Source organism: Homo sapiens, chromosome 3, assembly GCF_000001405.40.
Source record: "Homo sapiens chromosome 3, GRCh38.p14 Primary Assembly".
Classification (NCBI taxonomy): domain Eukaryota; kingdom Metazoa; phylum Chordata; class Mammalia; order Primates; family Hominidae; genus Homo; species Homo sapiens.
This window is the reverse complement of record NC_000003.12, coordinates 169,694,880-169,716,454: the sequence shown is the minus strand read 5'-3', so window position 1 is coordinate 169,716,454 and position 21,575 is coordinate 169,694,880. Positions and strand designations below refer to the sequence as shown.

Below are 21,575 nucleotides of genomic sequence, written 5' to 3'. Positions count from 1 at the left end.
CCAGAGGTACAAAGAGGAGCTGGTACCATTCCTTCTGAAACTATTCCAGTCAATAGAAAAAGAGGGAATCCTCCCTAACTCATTTTATGAGGCCAGCATCATCCTGATACCAAAGCCTGGCAGAGGCACAACAAAAAAAGAGAATTTTAGACCAATATCCCTGATGAACATCGATGCAAAAATCCTCAATAAAATACTGGCAAACCGAATCCAGCAGCACATCAAAAAGCTTATCCACCAAGATCAAGTTGGCTTCATCTCTGCGATGCAAGGCTGGTTCAACATACACAAATCAATAAACGTAATCCATCATATAACAGAACCAAAGACAGAAACCACGTGATTATCTCAATAGATGCAGAAAAGACCCTCTACAAAATTCAACAGCCCTTCATGCATAAATCCATTTATTATCCTTGGAAGAGATGGAAAGGCAAGAAAGCTCTCTGAACAAGAGAGATCCATTGAGACTAAGACGGAAATTGGGTTAAAGTCACCTAATGGTGAAGAGTGTCCTTCACCTGTATTGGCTTTTTTTCGGTATTAAAGACAAACACAACTTTAATAATTCTTTTGACAATGGAAAGAAGAAAATCATTTTTCGGAGTTCTGTGATTTAAATAGAAATCACTTAAGCTGACATGACAGGAAGGTGACAACAAATGCCACAAAGGAACAGTGATGGAAAAACATGTCTTTTGACTGTATTATAACATCCATATAATTCGTTAGACTTGATGGGAAGGAAGTGTCATGTTGGAATCTTATGTTGCAAGATTGAGCTTTAAAGGCATAAAACAGGTCCAAAGCTGGATAACAAAGGTATTGAGGAGTGATCTATGACATAAATCACTCAATTCAGAGACTAACCTCTGAGAGGCACGTGTGTAGTGTAGACCCAAAGAAGCATGGCAAAAGATTTGAAAACAACTAACATTTAAACTAATTGACCAAAGAAGGAAGGACAATTTATAGTCTGAACCCGGCCATACTGTTTGCCTGCTAAAACAATAACAAAAAGTCAACATTCTCCAAAGAATTTTAATAAGACTACGAGTTTCATAGTATAAAATGTATTAAAAATGTCTGAGATAGAATCTAAAACTGCTCAACATATGAAAAGGCAGGAAAACATGACTAATCCTCAAGCGAAAAGACAATCAACAGATACTAACCCTAAGATTATCCAGGGGTTGGAATTATTAGACAGACTTTAAAACAGCTATTATAACCAAACTTAATGAAGCAATAGTGAACACATTTGAAATAAATGAAATTTTGAAAATGAGTTTTCAGTAGATAAATATAATTATAATCAAAAGAGCCAAATGAAAATTTTAGAACTAAAAAAGATAATGTGTGAAATAAAAAAAAATTCACTGGATGGGCTCAGTAGCAGAAATGAGATGGTGAAGAAAAGTCAGTGAATTTGAACATTGTTCAATAGAAATCATCCGAAGTAAAGAACTGAGAGAAAAATATTTGTTAAAAACAAACGGATCATCAGAAACTTGTGGGACAGTATTTTGAGATAAAACGTTTGTGTAATTGCAGTCCCAGGAGGAAAAAAAAATTGGTGAAGAAAAATTATTTGAAAAAATAATGGCTGAAAACGTTCCAATTTGGTGAAACACGTAAGGTTATCTTATAAAGTCAAAGAAAATCACATCAGACAGATATAATCAAACTTATAAAAACCAAAAGAGGGAGACAAAAGAAAAAGAGTTCTTAAAGATCTTTAAAAATCCTACATAGCTTAGAAGACAATGGAACAACATCTTTAAAGTTCTTAAAGAAAAGAGCTATTAATCCAGAATTCTGCAATCAGTGAAAATATATTTCAGGAATTATGGAGAAATAAAGATAACCTCAGAGGGAAAAAAAACTAAGAAAATTCATTGCTATCAGACATTTTCTGCTCTAAAAGAAATGCTAAAAGAAATTCTTCAAGCTGAAAGGAAATCATAAGAGAGATAAAGTTAGAACATTAAGAATAAAGGGAGAACTAACTCGTGTTTAGGTAAATGTAAAAGAATATTTTTTCCTAGTAAGTTCTTTAAAATGCATGACTACCGCGTGCAGTGGCATGAGCCTTTAATCCCAGCTACTTAGGAGGCTGAGGTGTGAAGATTGCTTGAGCTCAGGAGTTCAAGGTCAGCCTGGGCAATAGCAAGATCCTGTCTCTAAAAAATATATCTATATGTATGATTATTGAAAGCAAAAATTGTACGATTAGTGGAGGTTTCAATGTTACACTATAAATGGCAACTACAACTTAAAAGAAGGGAAGGCTAAAGAGATTTTTGTTTCTCCTGCTTACGTCTAATACCTTTTACTCGAAGTGCTAATATTAACACTAAATGGACAACTAAAGGTTGTGTAGGTATATTGTCCATAGAGCATCCACTAAAAAGAATAAAAGGAGATATAGCAAAAAATGCCAATAGGTATATTAAAACGAGAGAGTATAAATATCCAAATAATCAGGAAATATATGAGAAAGGAAAAACAGACTAATGTAAGACAGAAGGGATAAATAGAAAACAAGTAATAAAGTGGCAAATTCAAATCCAACCACATCCATAATTACATTAAAGGTAAATGGCCTAAAGACACTAATTAAAAAAAGAAATTTTCAGATTGGATAAAAAAGAGACCTGGCTATATATTGAATACAAGATATCTATTTTATAGACAGTGACATAAATAGGTTAAAAGTGAAAGGATAGGCCGGGCGCGGTGGCTCACACCTGTAATCCCAGCACTTTGGAAGGCCAAGGTGGGCGGATCACGAGGTCAGGAGATCGAGACCGTCCTGGCTAACACGGTGAAACCCTGTCTCTACTAAAAATACAAAAAATTAGCCAGGCATGGTAGCAGGCGCTTGTAGTCCCAGCTACTCGGGAGGCTGAGGCAGGAGAATGGCATGAACCTGGGAGGCGGAGGTTGCAGTGAGCCGAGATCACGCCACTGCACTCTAGCCTGGGCGACAGAGCAAGACTCTGTCTCAAAAAAAAAAAAAAAAAAAAAAAAAAAAAAAAAAAAAAAAAAAAAAATGAAAGGATAGAAGAAATATACCATGCAAGCATTATTCCAAACAAATGACAGGGACCATATTAACACCAAAATGGACTTCAAAGCAAGGAAAAGTGTCAGAGTTAAAGAGAGGGGCACTTATATAATGAAAAAATAAGCAATTCACTAATTCTTCTACGACTAAGAAGTCATAACAATCCCAAATGTGTATACGTCTAACGACAGAGCATCAAAATACATGAATCAGAAACTGATAGAACAGAAAAGAAATAGACAAAGCCACAATTATATTTGAAGACTTAAAAATTTTTCTCTCAGAATTGACAGAAGTAGAAAAAAATGAGCAAGGATACAGAAGACTTGAGCAATGTTCTCAACCAACGTGACTGAATTGACATTTATATCATTCCAATTTTAATATATATGCTGCTAAATTGAGCACTGAATTGACATTTATGCTCCACCCAACAATAGCAGAATACACATTCTTTCCAGGTTTACATGGAACATTTACCAAGATAGACTATATTCTGGGATATAAATAATAGTAACCTTAAAATAATTGAAACTATAACAGTTTTAAAAAAGCGTTTCAATCACAACAGAATTAAACTTGGAATCAATAACAAAGCTTTCTGGAAAATTGATGAATATTTGAAAATTAATCAACACATTTTTAAAAAACCCAGTGGTTACAGAAAAAGTCTTAATAGAAATTAGGCCATATTTTGAACTGAATTAAAATAAAAATAAAACATCAAAAATTTGTGGCATGTAGCTGAAATAGTACTGAATAAAATTTATAGCATTAAATGCTTTCATCAGAAAAGAAAAAAGATGTCAAATAAATAATCTAAGCCTCTGCTTTAAGAAACTAGAAAAAGGAGAATAAACTAAACCCACATTAAACAGAAGGAAGAAAAGAATAAAATTAAGAGCAGAAATCAATGAAATTGTAAACATAAAAATAGAGAAAATCAGTGAATAGCAATCAAATGAAAGCTGGTTCTTTGAAATGATCAATATAATCAATCAATTTCTAACCAGAGTGTTGGGAAACAACTCTTTATGGATCTCTCACTTTTCTACATGTTTTTTGAGTAAGACACTGACTACCCTTTGTTCTGGACTATTTTTCCCCCCAATAATGTCTATAAACATCCCTGGAAGATGGAGATAGTGTCTCACTCTGGAGCAAGGAAAGCTTACTCTCAATATAAAAGATTCTGGTGCTCTAAGTTTAGTGTTCCTTTCCTGCAGTACAAGCCACTGCAGTTTCAGGTATCATCTAGACCTCTTTGTGTTGACCTGTGGGAATGTGTGCCCAGGGAACTGGTGCAAAAATCTTGACACGCTGGCTGGCTGCTGCTACTGCTGTAAGCACTAAACTAAACTTTGTCTCTGACTTAGGAGTCATGTGTCTTCCACCAGAATCTACAAAACTGGCAGCCTAATTTCTTAGTTTGCAAGTAGGGTAAAATCTCCAACCCTTCACAGTTCTTAACATAAAGTGACCAGGAAAAACCTTAGAGAAGACATAAATTACTTGACTGCAGGCTAATTTTGCCTAACTATAGGCTAACATTAGAATGAAAGAGGAAATGTCACCTATAGGTTCCACTGATATTAAAAGAATAATAAGGGAGGATTATCAACAACTCCAAGTCTGTAAATTCAACAACTTAGATTAAATGACATACTCAGAAGACACAAATTACCAAAATTCCTTCAAGAAGAAATAGATAACACGAATAGTCCCTTATCTTTTAAAGAAATTGAAATTGAATTTGTATTAAAAAGACCTTTCAAAGAAAAAAAATTTGGCTGGGTGTGGTGGCTCATTCCTGTAATCCCAAAACTTTGGGGGGACTAAGGCAGGTGGATCAAGTTCAAGACCAGCCTGGGCAACATGGTAAACCCTGTCTCTACAAAATATACAAAAATTAGCCAGGGATGGTGGTGGGTGCCTGTAGTCCCAGCTACTTGGTTGGGAGGCTGAGGTGGGAGGATGGCTTGAGCTGGACAGGCAGAGGTTGAAGTGAGCTGAGATTGTGCCACTGCACTCCAGACTGGGTGATAGAGCCAGATCTTGCCTCAGGAAAAAAAAAAAAAAAAAGAAAAGAAAATATTTTAGGCCCAGATTGTTTCACTGGTGAATTCTACCAAACATTTAAGAAAGAAAACAATTCTTTACAATCTCTTCTAGAAAATAGAAGAGCATGACATTCTTTCCAACTTATTCTATGAGGCCAATATTACCCTATTATAAAACCAGACGGAGACATTATGAGTAAAGAAACCTATAGATCAACATTCCTCATGAACACAGATGCAAGATCATCAATAAAATATAAGCAATATCTAATCCAGCAATACATAATTAGGGTAATATAACATGACCAGGTTATATTATGAATGCAAGGTAGATTCAACATTCAAAAGTCAATGTGATTCATCATATAAACAACTTAAAGAAGAAAAACCGTATGATCAAATAAATAGATGAAGATGAATCATTGGATAAAATTCAACATCCATTCATGATGAAAACTCTCAGTCACCAAAGAACAGATGGTAATTCCTTAACCTAACAAAAGGCATCTTCAAGAAAATCTGCAGTTAACATCCACTTCATGGTGAAAGAATGTTTGCCTAATATTGGGAACAAGACAAAGATATCCACTCTCATTACTCCTATTCAGTGTCATACGGGAAGGTTTTTTTTCAATGCAATAAGGCAAGAAAAATAAATAGAAGGCATATACAGATATCCCTGATTTATGGTGGTTTGATCTATAATTTTTCTACTTTACAATGGTATGAAACCCATTATCTCCATTTTTTATTATACAACGCTTTATTTAAACAAATTATTTTCATAGAATACATTTTCACATTAGAGATTCCCATTGTGCGAAAATAACAATTTATTACTTATAGTTTTATATCTGTGGACAGATTGTTTTAGAACAAGTAGAACACATTTGAGAATTAAATCTCAGTTTACAATTGGTAATATTTTGATATGTATACAAGGGGAAACTTGCCCTTAAATGGAACTTCTCTATATTCAGAAGTATTCCAAGCATTTCTTCCTAGGATTTAGAAATTTATAATGTGAGATAACAGCATTTCCTAATTTTAAAATTTCCCTAGTATATGTAGCCATCAGTAGGTGGTATCTACTGACTACAGAGGGAAGTTTTCAAAAATTAAACACCGTCTAATTTTCTGCAAAGTTTTTATTCATGAATTAAGAGTATTTCCCTTTGTCCATTATTCCCAGGGCAAATATGGAAGTTTGATCATATACTAATAGTAATAAAGCTGGATTCTCTTTAAGAGATTGATAAATTAAAAGGCAAAAGCTCATATATCATGTTTAGTTATACTGTGAGTCTTATAAGAAGCTGGGAGGCAACCCCGTTAACTCACCAGAATACAGAACTCAGTCTCACAACTTAGATGTAACTCCTCTCAAACGTTTTCCTCAAAGACTAAGTTCTGAAAATAATCTTGTGATTAAGAGAAGAAGGCTATCCACCAATGGACTTACCTGTTATTTCTTCGTTATTGTGGGCTTAATGGCATGACAAAGCAGAGGCAAAGAGGCATACATCAATTCTTCAAAGTATGAAGTAAAAAAGGTCAGAGCTTCCACAGCATGGCAACAGCTTTGCAGATGCCCACATCGTGATAGTTGAAATAGCAAAGCCCAGTAAAGGTTAAAGCTGAAAGTGCCAAAAGCCCTGCCTTGGTAGCTTTCTGCGAGGCATCCCCATGAACATAGTAACAACTTGTCTAAGGCCCCAGTGACCAGGAAGAGTGAGGGTTGCAGCCAGGGAATAGTCCATCGCAGAGCAAGGATTCAAATAAGCAGCCGGAAGCAGACCCAGGAGCAAAACACTGACAACCCTCTCGCTAGTCCAGTGGAGAGACGCAGCCTTGGAGCCAGGATGGTGGCTCGGTGACAAGTGTAAGTGCTGCACTCCACACCATTCTGGGATAGGTCGGTCCTGAAGAAATGCTGAGATATGAGCAGGTCTGATCACTGGGGTTCGCAGCAACAGAGCTCGGCCTCCTTGGGCACCGTAAAGGGCACTCAGCCTCCGGAGAACCGCCATCTCGTTCCTGAGGGCTCAAGGTCCCATTATCTCCATTTTGGCATAATGTATGGTATTTAACAAATGACTTGAGCTATTCAACACTTTATTGTAAAATGGGCTTTGTTTTAGATGATTTTGCCCAACTGTAGGCTAATGTAAGTGTTCTGAGCACATTTAAGGTAGGCTAGGCTAAGCTATGATCTTCAGTAGGTTAGGTGTATTAAATGCATTTTTGTCTTACAGTATTTTCAATTTCAATGGATCTATTGGGACATAATGCTACTGTAAGTCGAAGAGCATCTGTGGATAGATAAGGAACAAATAAAATGATCACTTTTGCAGATGATATGATTGTCTACATACAAAACTTTAAGGCATCTACAAAAGCTTCTAGAAATAATAAGTGAGTTTAGCAAGTTAACAGAATACAGAAAAAAAATCTTCTATACTAGCAGTGAGAAAACAGTACCATTTACTATAGCACCGTCTCCCTGAAGAAAGAAATGTTTTGGTATATATTTAACAAAATACAGGCAGGATCTGTATGCTGAAAATCTGTGTGCAAGTGTTTATAATCACTGAAAACTGGAAATATTCCAAATAACCTTTGGTACAAATGGTAGTACATCCATCTCATGGAGTACTGCTTAGCAATAAAAAGAACAGATTATTTCTACACATAACAACATGGATGAATCTCAGGTGCATTATGCTGAGTGAAAGAAGCCAAACTAAAAAGGTTACATAAAGTAGGTGTCTTGGCCCATTTGGGTGGCTATAATGTAATACCTTAAACTGGGTAATTTATAAACAACAGAAATTTATTGCTTACAGTTCTGGAGGCTGGGAAGTCCAAGATCAAGGTGTCAACAGATTTTGTGTCTGGTAAGAGCCTGTTCCTCATAGATGGCACCTTCTATATGTCTTCATACAATGGAAGGGGCAAACAATCTCTCTTAGGCCTTTTTTATAAGGACACTAATCTCATTCACAAGGGCTCCACTGTCATGACTTAGTCACCTCCCTTAAGTCCCCATCTCTTAATACTACAACATTGGGGATTAGGTTTCAACATATGAATTTTGGGAGGACACAAACATTCATACTGTAGCAGTAGGATTCCATTTATATGACATATAATGTTTAGAAAAGGAAAAACTGTAGGGATGAAGAACAGATCAATGGTTGCCAGGTTTTCTGGGTATTCTGGTTTGGGGAGGAGTAGCTTGAGAGAATTTTTTGGAGATTATGAGACTGTTCTGTTTCTTGATTATGGAAATGGTTACATAATTCTATGCATTTTTGAAGCTTATAAACTGTATACCCTAAAGAGTGAATTTTACTGTTTGTAAATTTTTTAAAAAATTAGAGTACCTTAAGAACATTAATAAAGGTTTGAACTTGAAAAGAAAAAAATAAGAGAAGACTAAGATTTTAGTTTTGTAGCATTTGTGGATGAGGGGAAACTTTATCAACTCAAGCATAGAAAGTATACATGTTCTTGCTCTGAAATCAGTGGTTTTTCTCCATATTCTCTCTGTAGTTTACATGGTTTAAATGTTCTTCAAGTTCAGCTCAATAAAATTGTCTGGCACTTGGCATTGCATACCTGGTCAGATAATTAAGCAGTGTTACTTCCCTTTATCACAGTCTTGAGAAAGTCTGCACCTCCTTAAACTACTGAAGAATAGCTTTTTTTTCTTTGATGTTGGTTTCTGGTGACTTTTGTTCCTCAGTTTTCCTGATGATTGAACAATTGATTGGGAAGACATTTGAAAAAGATTACATTGGATTAATGCCTTAAACAAGATAATAGAACAAACTTCAAGTAGATTAGATATTTAAGTATAAAAAATAAAACTATGCAGTACAAGAAAAAAACATAGTGGGTTCCTTTATAAACATTAAGTGGGCAAAGCCTTTCTTTTTTTAATTTTATTATTATTATTATTTTATTATACTTCAAGTTCTAGGGTACATGTGCACAACGTGCCGGTTTGTTACATATGTATACATGTGCCATGTTGGTGTGCTGCACCCATTAATTCGTCATTTACATTAGGTATATCTCCTGATGCTATCCCTCCCTCCTCCCCTCAACCCCACGACAGGCCCCGGTGTGTGATGTTCCTCTTCCTGTGTCCAAGTGTTCTCGTTGTTCAATTCCCACCTATGAGTGAGAAATGCGGTATTTGGTTTTTTGTCCCTGCGATAGTTTGCTGAGAATGATGGTTTCCAACTTCATTCGAGTCCCTGCAAAGGACATGAACTCATCCTTTTTTATGGCTGCATAGTATTCCATGGTGTATATATGCCACATTTTCTTAATCCAGTCTATCATTGATGGACATTTGGGTTGGTTCCAAGTCTTTGCTATTGTGAATAGTGCCGCAGTAAACATATGTGTGCATGTGTCTTTATAGCAGCATGATTTATAATCCTTTGGGTATATACCCAGTAATGGGATGGCTGGGTCAAATGGGATTTCTAGTTCTAGATCCTTGAGGAATTGCCACACTGTCTTCCACAATGGTTGAACTAGTTTACCGTCCCACCAACAGTGTAAAAGTGTTCCTATTTCTCCACATCCTCTCCAGCACCTGTTGTTTCCTGACTTTTTAATGATCGCCATTCTAACTGGTGTGAGATGGTATCTCATTGTGGTTTTGATTTGCATTTCTCTGATGGCCAGTGATGATGAGCATTTTTTCATGTATCTGTTGGCTGCATAAATGTCTTCTTTTGAAAAGTGTCTGTTCATATCCTTCACCCACTTTTTGGTGGGGTTGTTTGTTTTTTTCTTGTAAACTTGTTTGAGTTCTTTGTAGATTCTTGATATTAGCCCTTTGTCAGATGAGTAGATTGCAAAATTTTTCTCCCATTCTGTAGGTTGCCTGTTCACTCTGATGGTAGTTTCTTTTGCTGTGCAGAAGCTCTTTAGTTTAATTAGATCCCATTTGTCAATTTTGTCTTTTGTTGCCATTGCTTTTGGTGTTTTAGACATGAAGTCCTTGCCCATGCCTATGTCCTGAATGGTATTGCCTGGGTTTTCTTCTTGGGTTTTTATGGTTTTAGGACTAACATTTCAGTCTTCAATCCATCTTGAATTAATTTTTGTATAAGGTGTAAGGAAGGGATCCAGTTTCAGCTTCTACATATGGCTAGCCAGTTTTCCCAGCACCATTTATTAAATAGGGAATCCTTTCCCCATTTCTTGTTTTTGTCAGGTTTGTCAAAGATCAGATGGTTGTAGATGTGTGGTATTATTTCTGAGGGCTCTGTTCTGTTCCATTGGTCTATATCTCTGTTTTGGTACAAGTACCATGCTGTTTTGTTTACTGTAGCCTTGTAGTTTAGTTTGAAGTCAGGTAGAGTGATGCCTCCAGCTTTGTTCTTTTGGCTTAGGATTGACTTGGCAATGCGGGCTCTTTTTTGGTTCCATATGAACTTTAAAATAGTTTTTTCCAATTCTGTGAAGAAAGTCATTGGTAGCTTGATGGGGATGGCATTAAATCTATAAATTACCTTGGGCAGTATGGCCATTTTCACGATATTGATTCTTCCTATCCATGAGCATGCAATGTTCTTCCATTTGTTTGTATCCTCTTTTATTTCATTGAGCAGTGGTTTGTAGTTCTCCTTGAAGCGGCCCTTCACATCCCTTGTAAGTTGGATTCCTAGGTATTTTATTCTCTTTGAAGCAATTGTGAATGGGACTTCACTCATGATTTGGCTCTCTGTTTGTCTGTTATTGGTGTATAAGAATGCTTGTGATTTTTGCACATTGATTTTGTATCCTGAGACTTTGCTGAAGTTGCTTATTAGCTTAAGGAGATTTTGGGCTGAGGCAATGGGGTTTTTCTAAATATACAATCATGTCATCTGCAAACAGGGACAATTTGTGTTCCTCTTTTCCTAATTGAATACCCTTTATTTCTTTCTCCTGCCTGATTGCCCTGGCCAGAACTTCCAACACTATGTTGAATAGGAGTGGTGAGAGAGGGCATCCCTGTCTTGTGCCAGTTTTCAAAGGGTATGCTTCCAGTTTTTGCCCATTCAGTATGATATTGGCTGTGGGTTTGTCATAAATAGCTCTTATTATTTTGAGATATGTCCCATCAATACCTAATTTATTGAGAGGTTTTAGCATGAAGGGCTGTTGAATTTTGTCGAAGGCCTTTTCTGCATCTATTGAGATAACCTTGTGGTTTTTGTCTTTGGTTCTGTTTATATGTTGGATTATGTTTATTGATTGGGCAAAGCCTTTCTGTCTCTGATTCAAAATTCAGAAGCCCTGAAATGAAAGACTGACACATTCAACAACATATAAGAAAGTTTCTTCCATAGCAAAACAACATAAGTCAAAAGACAGTGACAAACTGGGAAAAATACTTGCCATATCACAGGAAAATGATTAAACTACTTGAGAGCCTCTAGAAACTGTGAGAAGCCCAACAACCCAATAGAAGAATAGCAAAGAACATGAACAGACAGTTCACAGAAAAATGAATAAAAATTCCCCCTTTAAGTTGCTTAACCTCACTCACAAAAGGAAAATCACAAATAAAAACCGTACCAGGTATCTTGAAGGAGGGAAAGCAAAATGGTGTCAACTTGATATAGGGGAATTTGACAACATCTAGCACATTTCTTTGACCCGGGGAAAAAAAAGGCTATGCAAACTATTCATTACAGCACTATCTGTAATAGCAAAGAGAATATAGGAAAAAATCAAAATGACTAAGAGTTAGAAAATATTTGAATAAATATGGTGTTATCTTATGGCATATGGTATATAAATATGGTTGAATAAATATAGTATACTTTAATAAAGAACTGAACTACTACAAAAAAATGAAGATGATATATACTGCTAAAAAATGGACTCCAGATATACTATTAAGTGCAAAAAACAATATGGAGTAAGGTATATATTATATGCCACTGTTGTTTAATGGGGAAATGTGCATGTATGTGTGTGTGTGTATTTTTGCTTTGCTTTTATTTTTAATAAGCTGAACAACAATGGAAGCTGTGGTAGGCAGAATTTTAGGATGACTCCCAATATTCTGTCCACCAACTATATATATGCCTTGTATCATCCCCTTCTCCTTGAGTTTACATGGGACCAGTCAATATGATGCTCTTCATCGGCCTAGAGGAAAGAAAACAGACATGTTGTTAACTGCATGTGAAGGGGACCATGTGGCTAGAGGCTGAGGATGGCATCTCAGACCTAAGGGCAACTCCAAGTCAACAGCCAGCAAGGAAACAAGGACCTCAATCCTACAGCTATAGGGAACTGAATAGCCTGGAAGAAGACCCTGAGCTCTAGAAAGACTGCAGTCCTGGCTGATATCTTGATTTTGGCTTTGTGAGGACTTGAACAGAAAACCTATGAACATCCTGCTCAGACTTCTGACCTTCAGCAACTATGAGATAATAAATATGTTTAAAGCCACTAAGTTTGTTACAATTTGTTATGCAGCAATAGAAACTAACACAGAGGCATAAACTGAAAACTTCAGAAAACTTGATGGAAAATGTGGAGGGGCCGGGGACTGAAATTTCTCTGTATATCTTTTTATATAGATTTGAATTTTAAATCATGTAAATATATTATCTACTTAAAATTAAATGAAAAAGAAAATGAAAACAACAACAACCAAACCCTACTGGGCATTGAAAAGTTTCTGAGGGCAGCTAAGGGCTGCTGATATGCACCAGTCTGCTCCCTCCTCCTAAGTCCCCTCAACTCTGCAGAATCTCTTACACGTAACAGTACAGCACATATTCTTCTCACCTTTGTGTGCCACAAGGCAATTCTTCAAGGGCGTACTGACTGCCAAATGGAGGTGAAGTGAGTGAGGAGGTGAGATCTTAGCATCCTTTTGAGGAACATATAAGGATAGAAATTGTGTCAAAGTTCTCCTTCCGTCCTCTGGAATGACTCCACCTCGCTCACCTGCAAATAAAGTCACTGTCAAAGAGCCACATTCTTACACCTTCAGAAATGTGTTCTGTGTGTTCTGTCTAGTTTCATTAAAGACCCACTTTTGAAATAGCTTGGTAACATTTATTCAGCCAATACCAATCGTGAATACGGGCAATGAGGAAGAAGACATTGGAGAAAACAATGTGATCAAACAAAGTCCAAAAGAAAAATGCACAGGAGGAAAACTATACAAACAAGAACAATACCTCTGTCAGAGGCCTGTGAGAATGTGTCAGAATAGGTAAAGATAGAGACAAATTTGGAGACTGAAAGGAGTTTATATATCAACCCTTGGCTGAAAGTACAGACACATAAAGAGAATTTGTTGGAACACGTAATTGAAGTCTCATGGGGTGACAGCTTTAAGACAGGTGGATCTGGAAGCAGTAGGATGCCATCAGGGCCTGATCTGCTTTCCTCTGGCTTTTTCTTAGAAAGGCTCTTCCCTTCTGGAACAATATGGGGGCTTATAGCACCAGACTTTTTTCTTTACAGATTAGCAATCTCCAAAACAAACAAGCAAAAGTTTTCTCCCTTAATAGTTTTGACAAGGGTTTTGTTGGTCTGGCTTGATTCACATGCCCATGGCTGGCCATTTCTCCAAGGGAAAGAGAGGTGTGATGGATCTGGATAAGTAAAGGCAATAGACTACATACTTGATCAACAGAAAAAGAAGGAGGTTAACAATCCCTCCTCAGAGTATGAGGAGAAATTAGGAGGAAGGGACATTAGGAAGTGAAGAGAGAAAACATTTGGCATCAATGCAGTGGAAGTCTACAGAGATTAGTAAAATGATTACTTAGCCATCCTGAGGGTCCAATTAAAGTTAGATCGCATGGATTTTTCATTAAGCCATTAAACCCAGTTTTCAGGTTTTCTTTCAGTAGACCTAGGAGGGGAGAAAGGATGCTTTACTATAGCTTTCCCAGGGCTGGGGATTGGTCTAAGGGTTGGGAGGGGAGAAACTAGGTGATAGCAAAGTTGTGGTAAAGATTCAGTCCAGGCAAAGGCATGATGCAAGGGAACATAGATGGTGGCTGGTGGACTAAGAATGGGGATGGGTTAAAGGACTGAAGGTCCTAAGGCAGATGAAAAGCAGTTTTAGAAGGAGGGGTGGAATGTAGATGGTGTAGGACAGATTTTCTGGAGGTATAAGATATGTGGGTGGAATAGAGACAGAAGGTGAAGATGGAGTCATAGTTAGCTAGCAGGGTACTGCTGTAGGTTGGGTTCTCTGGGGAGGGGGTACTGAGATGGAGTCCCAAAGGCTTATTAAGGAGTAACACCAGTGAAAGGAAAAGAGGAGGAAGAAGGATTGCACAGGAAGAGCCAACAGACCATGAGGCAGATCTGACAAACTCTTTGCCTTTCCAGTTAGGAGCTCCAGGGCAATGAATGCCAACTAGAGGAGTCTTGCACTGGGTGGAAATGGCTGGGCCCTAGAACCACCATCTTGCTTAATCATTGGCTTGATGCTACATGAAAAGTTTATGCTCTTTGCTGAGGCAGTCTCTGAAGGAGCTGGCAGCTACAGGCTGTCAGATAACTGCTCAGGAATTTGGGATTAAATCCATCATGTTGTACATTCCCCTGTTACTGGCAGGGTTGGGCATATGGTCCAATCAGACATAGTTGGAGGAGAGTCCCCCCGACCCCTTACCACTCAGGCACAATAGCAAGGAAGAACGTGGAGCAAGTTGCTTCTGGCAGCCGCCCTCAACTCTTGAGGGGAACCAGCTGTAGGATTAAGTTTACAGAGCAGGGAGACAGCAACAACCTTGATCCTTGAATTGTTGATGGCATTGTGGAGCTGCTCAGTCATGTAGCCACGAATTCTGATTTATCCTTAACAATTCCTGTTATGTAAACTAAATGTCCTTATCAGTGAAGTTAGCCTAAGTTGGGAGTTTAGATTCTTGTAGCCAAAAGCATCCTGACTGATACAAGGGTATTAAAGAGTTCTCAGAGTAATTAACCTGGGTAGAGCCCTAGGGTGATAGCAGAGAAAAAGATGGAGGGGTAGGTTTTGGTTAGCATCATGGAGTAATATGGCAAACTTTCCTTGAAGTTGGTAGGGAATCATGATCTTGGCAAGGGGCAGTACAAAAAGAGGGCAAGAAATTTTAAAAGAGGGGTGCTGTTAGGGATTGGGAAATGATATATAGTGTGATTAAAAGCATGGACTCTAGGCTCCGGATTGTTTTCAGAACTTAATTTGCCTTAAGTTTAAATTCTAGCTCTACCATTTTATAGTTGTATCACCTTTGGCAAATTAATCTCTCTGGACGATTTCTTTATCTGCAGAAAGGTGGTTGTAAAGATTGAATAGGATAATACTTCATCAGGTACCTAGTACATATTAAAGCTCAATAAATATTACTTTAAAAATTATATCACATAAATGAAGACTGTTTCTCAACTAAAACCACATCATTAACCAAAACCTCTAAACTCTCTATTTTGTATCCAGATAAAGTTTAAAAGTTTGGGAAAGAAGAGCTGGAAATGCTGTTGTGTGGTGGAGGAAATGGGTGGGGGAATGAATTTATTATAGTAGTTTGGTTTAAAAACTTTTAAAATCGGTATAGTTTTGAGAGGTACATAGGCAGATTTGTTACATGGATATGTTGTGTAATGGTGAATGAAGTCTGAGCTTCTAGTGTGCCATTCACCTGAATTAGTAAACAGTGTACCCAATAGGCAATTTTTCAAACCTCATCTCCCTGCCACCCTCCCCGCTTTAGAAGTCCCCTGTGTCTATTATTTCTCTCTATATGTCCATGTGTACCCATTCTTTAGCTCTCACTTATAACAGAGAACCTGTGGTATGGTGGTTTGATTTTGCCTCTCCTGTCTGTGGATTGGAAGTTGAGAAACACCGGTTCAGAAGTGGAGGAGGAGCTGATTGCTTCCTTTGCATATAGGGGAGGGTGGAACTGAAGTGCATGGATGTGAGAGCGTGTGAGGTGCTGCTGGGATGTGGAGGAATGAGGTAACAGTTGCGGGAAATGGGCTGGAGGGTCTCACAAATAGGAGGTCAAGGGTGGAGTGATAAATGAGGACCTGAGTTTTGGAAGACTTTATAGGCCGACACATCCGCAGTTCCAAAGGGCTCGAAATGATAGCTGGGGCCTGGCTCAGGCACTGTTCGAGAACACCCACCCTGATGTTAATGATTAGCAACAGCCTAAAGAAGGGGGTCACATCTCCCACTTACAGAGAATGCATTTGGTTTTCTAACTGTGTTCAGACTGTGCTAATTTTACATGGCTGAAACATTTACTTCCCTGGTGTCTGAAGCAGGCATGACAGTGGAACCAGCCACTGGGGAAGGAAGGCTTGCTCTTCTCTTCTCACGGGGCCTGTTGTGAACGTGCTACCAGGTCACTAGCAGTCTGTATTCATGTTTGCGTCCACTGTTTCAAGTTCCCCAGGGAGATATGAGGAATTCCGGAGACAGTGGTGCTGCCCAGCTGCATGTGTCCAGAGGTCACTCTGCTCTCTGCTTGGGGTCAGAAAAGTAGGGAAAAGAATCGAGTGGACATGGAGTGCCGGCATGAGAGCTTTTGCCAAGATCAAAATGTTCCCCATCGCTGTGAGCAGATGAGATCTTGGAACCTGGACGCACACAGTCCCAGCTCCAGCAGGGCTTCTGGCAACAACCCCAGTGTCTTCAGCTACAGACACCACCTCTGTGAATGCCAAGAAAAGCAAACACAGGCCCCAGATCTCCTGTTGCACCAACTGGAAAGAAGCCCACAGCAGAGGAGCTGAGCTGTGAGGACAATCTTCCCGTAGCTCTTAATTTTCCACCATTCTTCCCCCATCTGAATCAAACAAACAAACAACAAGCTTGTAATAAAATTTGCAGGTGTGGCTGGTTTATATTCTGGGATTCTTTTTTGATCAAATTCCCGATAGGATGCTGGGATAAAATGGTGAATAAAGCTGTATAATGCAGTGTGTCCCAGACTTTTCAGACTGAATAGAAGGGAAGGAAACCCTGGAAAAGCAGAGACTTCATTCCCTCCTTGGGAGCTGGCTCTTTTTAGTGGCCCAGGATAGTGTCACTCAAATCCTCTCCAGACAGCCCTTTGGAAACATATTCCATGTTCCTCTTCTTAGGGATGTGGGTAGGAGTGGGGGTGGAGATGGTTCTGTAAAGCTTGAGGAGCAAGGTAATAAAGTGGCACCTTAAAATCCTGGCCATCCAAGATTAATGACAAGACTGGGAATTTACTTGGGGGAAATGCTTTTCTCAGCCTTAGGAGCAGAAAAGTGTAATTACTAATATCAAGAATGATAATTGCTACCAAGGAGAAGAAAATGTTCATAGTTTACCAAAGCAAAATGTGAGCTGTTAGTGGCATACAGGTGAGTGGGGAATCTGAGATCTGAGGCATCTGAATTACCAGAAAAGAAAGAATCTGGGGGCTATTGGTGACTCAAATCTTCAGATATTTCCAAGGCTTTAGTTTTCTGATTAAACAAAGTTTAGTCCTGTTTCCAGTCAGTTGCCAGTTTTCTGAATTAAGGTCAATCAACTAATATGGGTCATATTTAATGTGTGAGGCATTGGGTTCCCTTGGATTATTCCCTAAATTAATCTTCCTTCCTGATCCCTGGATACACTTTCTGCCTCTGTGTCTTCCCTCTTCTAATTCATCCTCCACTCCCTATCACACTGGCCTACTCAAGATACTTTAAAATTAGGGAAATTTTCAAACATTAAAAAATTTAGACAGACTATCCCAAAAGGCCACCATATCTGTCACTCAGCAATTATCAACATTTTATGAGTCTTCTTCATTTTTCTCCCTTATTTCAAAACAAATCCCAGAGAGCATATCCCAGATAGCGAAAAGGATTTTTCACTCTTGAACATAATTTCTCCTTTGTTACCTCTATTGAAAAAACATGTTTCTCTGTTTTAAATTTTTTATTGTGAAATATGCATACAAGAGGGTGTTTAAAATGCATAGGAATACTTAATATAAAACAAACAAAAACTAAAATAGTCATGAACCTACTTCCCAGGTTAGGAAATAGAATGTTGATCCTTTTTTTAAAAAAAAAAAAAGAGTTTGCCTTGTATTTCCTATATGATGGTAAACTAGCATGGATTCTTGGTCCCTCCCCTAAAGTTTGACCTATTGGGAACTATAGAAGGGAGAACATTATTGCTGCTGCCATCGCCCCAGAAACACAGGGCTCTCAATTTGGCCATATCCACCCAGAATAATCAGACTGCCCTTTGGCTCTGTGTTTCGTTCTCTCAATATATGAAAATTCTGATGGAGGCATCTGATTGGTCAAGTCCAGGTTACATGATTATGCCCTGCCTGCTAATGAGTTGGGACAGGGAATCTGATCCCCTGTTGATTTCTCTCAAGGGAGGAAGGGGCCCTGCCTTTACTCATCTTTTATTTTCCCCTAATATGAAGACGATTCATGTGCTGAGCACAAAATGACAAAACCCATTTTTCCAAGTATGTATGTCCAGCGTAGGCCAGTCTTCTGAGCTCTAGTTGGTATGTCCAACATCCTACTTCTCATCCCTACATGTTTGTTTCACGTTTAGCCTGTGCAAGTCTGAGCCTATCATTTTTTTCCCCAAATCCTCCTTCTCCTCTGTTGCTTTACTTGGTGAATGGCACTGCCATCTCCTAGTCTCCCAAATCAGTAACCTGTACACTATGCTGGAATTCTCCAATGTCTTTTCTATTTAGTCTTCACATCCTTTGAATGTATCTCTAGCCTGCTTCCCTTGTCTCCCGCTCTTTGCTTAATTCAAGCCCTCATCATCCTTCAGCTATGGTAGCCTTGTCTTTGTATTTCTCTAAAAGCAGATTCTGAGATAAAGGTTTGAGTGCAAATAATTTATTTGGGAGGTGAGAACCACAAGGATAGAAGAGTGGGGAAGTGAGACAAGGAAGGGCAAATAGCCAAAAGTTCTGTTGTCAAGATGGCTACCACCGTGGGCCACTGGAGTTTAATCCCAACTGGGACTAACACATGCTCCAGAGTTATACACCAGTCTCTTTGTCACTGATATAGAAGATGTTGCTGGGACATTCATTCTCTGACACTTCAAGCCTGCCACAGCCAACAAAGTGGGCTCCAGCAGTAGGAGATAGCTCTCAGGTGATGCAATGCAGGTGCTGGCATCTGGAAGACTGGTTATGGCAGTGAAGTCCTAGGGGTAAAGCGGTAAGGGTGGGGCAATAGGAACATGGGATTCAGGCCTTCGATATTCCTTGCATATATTGTACCCTTCCTGATAACCTAATTTTCTATTTTTCAGCCATAGTGATATTTCCAAAACTGAAATTTGATCATGCTATGGCCCCCTGAACATACTTTTAAGGCTTTCCATAGCTTTCTATATAAGATCTAAATAATTTAGCAAAGTCTACAAAGTCTTTCCTTCATCGTTTTTTTCTTGCTTGCTTCTTCAGCCTGACCTCTTACCGCCTCCTCTCTCTCCATCCCCTCACAAATACTATATTCCATTCTTATCCAACCACTTGTAGTTTCCAGAATGTGCCACCATCTGTCATGCTTCTGTATCTCTGCATATGTTCCCTCATTACTGGAATTCCTCTCCCCATCCTCTGCTGGTTCCCTCCAGTATATGGGGTTGCTGAGCATGTGGGGATCTGAATAGGCTACCTTAGTTCAATCAGAACAGAGAGAGAGAAGGCCGAGGTATCTATATGTTTATATCTATATACCTGTATATGTGTTCTTTGTAAGACTTTATCCTAAAAATATGTCCTATTGTTGATAAAATAATAATAGATTTTGAAAATGACTGAATTAGGCTATCAAAATCCAGGGCCATCAAAGATTTGAATCATATAAAATAAATCCATTCATTCAAATTTCTTACTGCTCACCAAGCAATCTTCTGGTTATAATTTGATTTAAATATTAACTACCTACAAGGCACGTACAGGTGCTGTGGTTTGAGTGTTTCTGTCCCCTTCCCCTGAAATTCATATATTGAAACCTAACTCCCCAAGGTGATGTTATAAAGAGTTGGGGCCTGTGGGAGGGGATTATGAATGGGATTAGTGCCCTTATAAAAGAGGCTTGAGGGAGCCTGTGTGCCCTCTTCTGCCATGTGAGGACATAGCAAGGAGGCTCCATCTATAAAGCAGACGCTGAATCTGCTGGTGCCTTGATCTTGGTCTGCCTAGCCTCCAGAGCTATGACCAATAAATTTCTGCTGTTTGTAAACTACCCAGTCTAAGGTATTTTGTTGCAGCAGCAGAAATGAACTAAGACCACGGGACATGCCAAAATGATCATTCTTTTGTCACAGTCATATTTCCTATTTAAATGAATAAATGGCATTCTAATTTACATATCAGTCCCCTGTGTGTTTATCATGAAGTAGTCTTCTTGATAACTCTGATGCACTGTGGAGATCAAATTTTTAAATCTAGGCTGGCATAGTGGCTCATGCTTGTAATCCCAGCACGTTGGAAAACTAGTGGGTGGAAGGGGCTTGCTTGAGCCCAGGAGTTCCAGGCCAGCCACGTGAAACCCTGTCTCTACAAAAAATACAAAAATTAGCCAGGCATGGTGGCTCATACCTGTAGTCCCAGCTACTTGGGGGGCTGAGGTGGGAGGATCACTTGAGTCCAGGAGGTCAAGTCTGCAGTGAGTCATGTTTATGCCACTGCACTCCAGCCTGGGTGACAAAGTGAGACTCTGTCTCCAGAAAAAAAATTATAGAGCCAGGGATCATTCCTTTCACTTCTGTGATGTCATGAAGGTAATGCCCACCTGTCAGGTAACCAGACAGTTGGTCTTCTCGGGCAATGCCACCCCATTGTTATTCTTTTTAAGGTACAATGACCCATGCCCAGCTAATTGTTGATGTATTGATTTCTGAAGCCGTGTTCTAAGCACACCATCTCATATCTAAACATGATGCCAGTAACTGTCAGAGGACATTTTTGTCTGTGTGTGTGTGTGTGTGTGTGTGTGTGACTTTTCTGTGAGTGATTACACATGGAATTAAGCCATTGCATCCTCTCACTCAGTTCCCCCTTTGACCTACATATTTTGGAACTGATTGCTGAAGAGGCTGCACTGTTGAAAAGAATGTATCTTTGGATAATATGAAAATTGGGTGATTCACATAGACTGATGCTATGGCCTTATCCAGTAAGTCAGCCTAGATAAGATAAGTGAGTCCTCGGTTCAAGAATAAAAATATTCTAGTTTGTTTCTCAGGAAAGTCTTATTTAGGAGAGAATGTTGTAGGGAAAGATTAGTCTTCTATGATTAAATGGTTCCATAGGGATATTACACTAATAAATATCAAAACTTAAACTCACACTATTCAAAAAAGCAAATTAGCTGGATAATTGTTTTAAATTAGTAATATGTGGTTCTATTCACTCATTTTCTGTAGACTAAAGAAT

At 38.6% G+C, this 21,575-nt stretch overlaps 1 pseudogene; it reads right to left on the bottom strand.

The window, feature by feature from the left end:
• Positions 5,877 to 7,183, bottom strand: SDHDP3 (succinate dehydrogenase complex subunit D pseudogene 3; annotated as a pseudogene).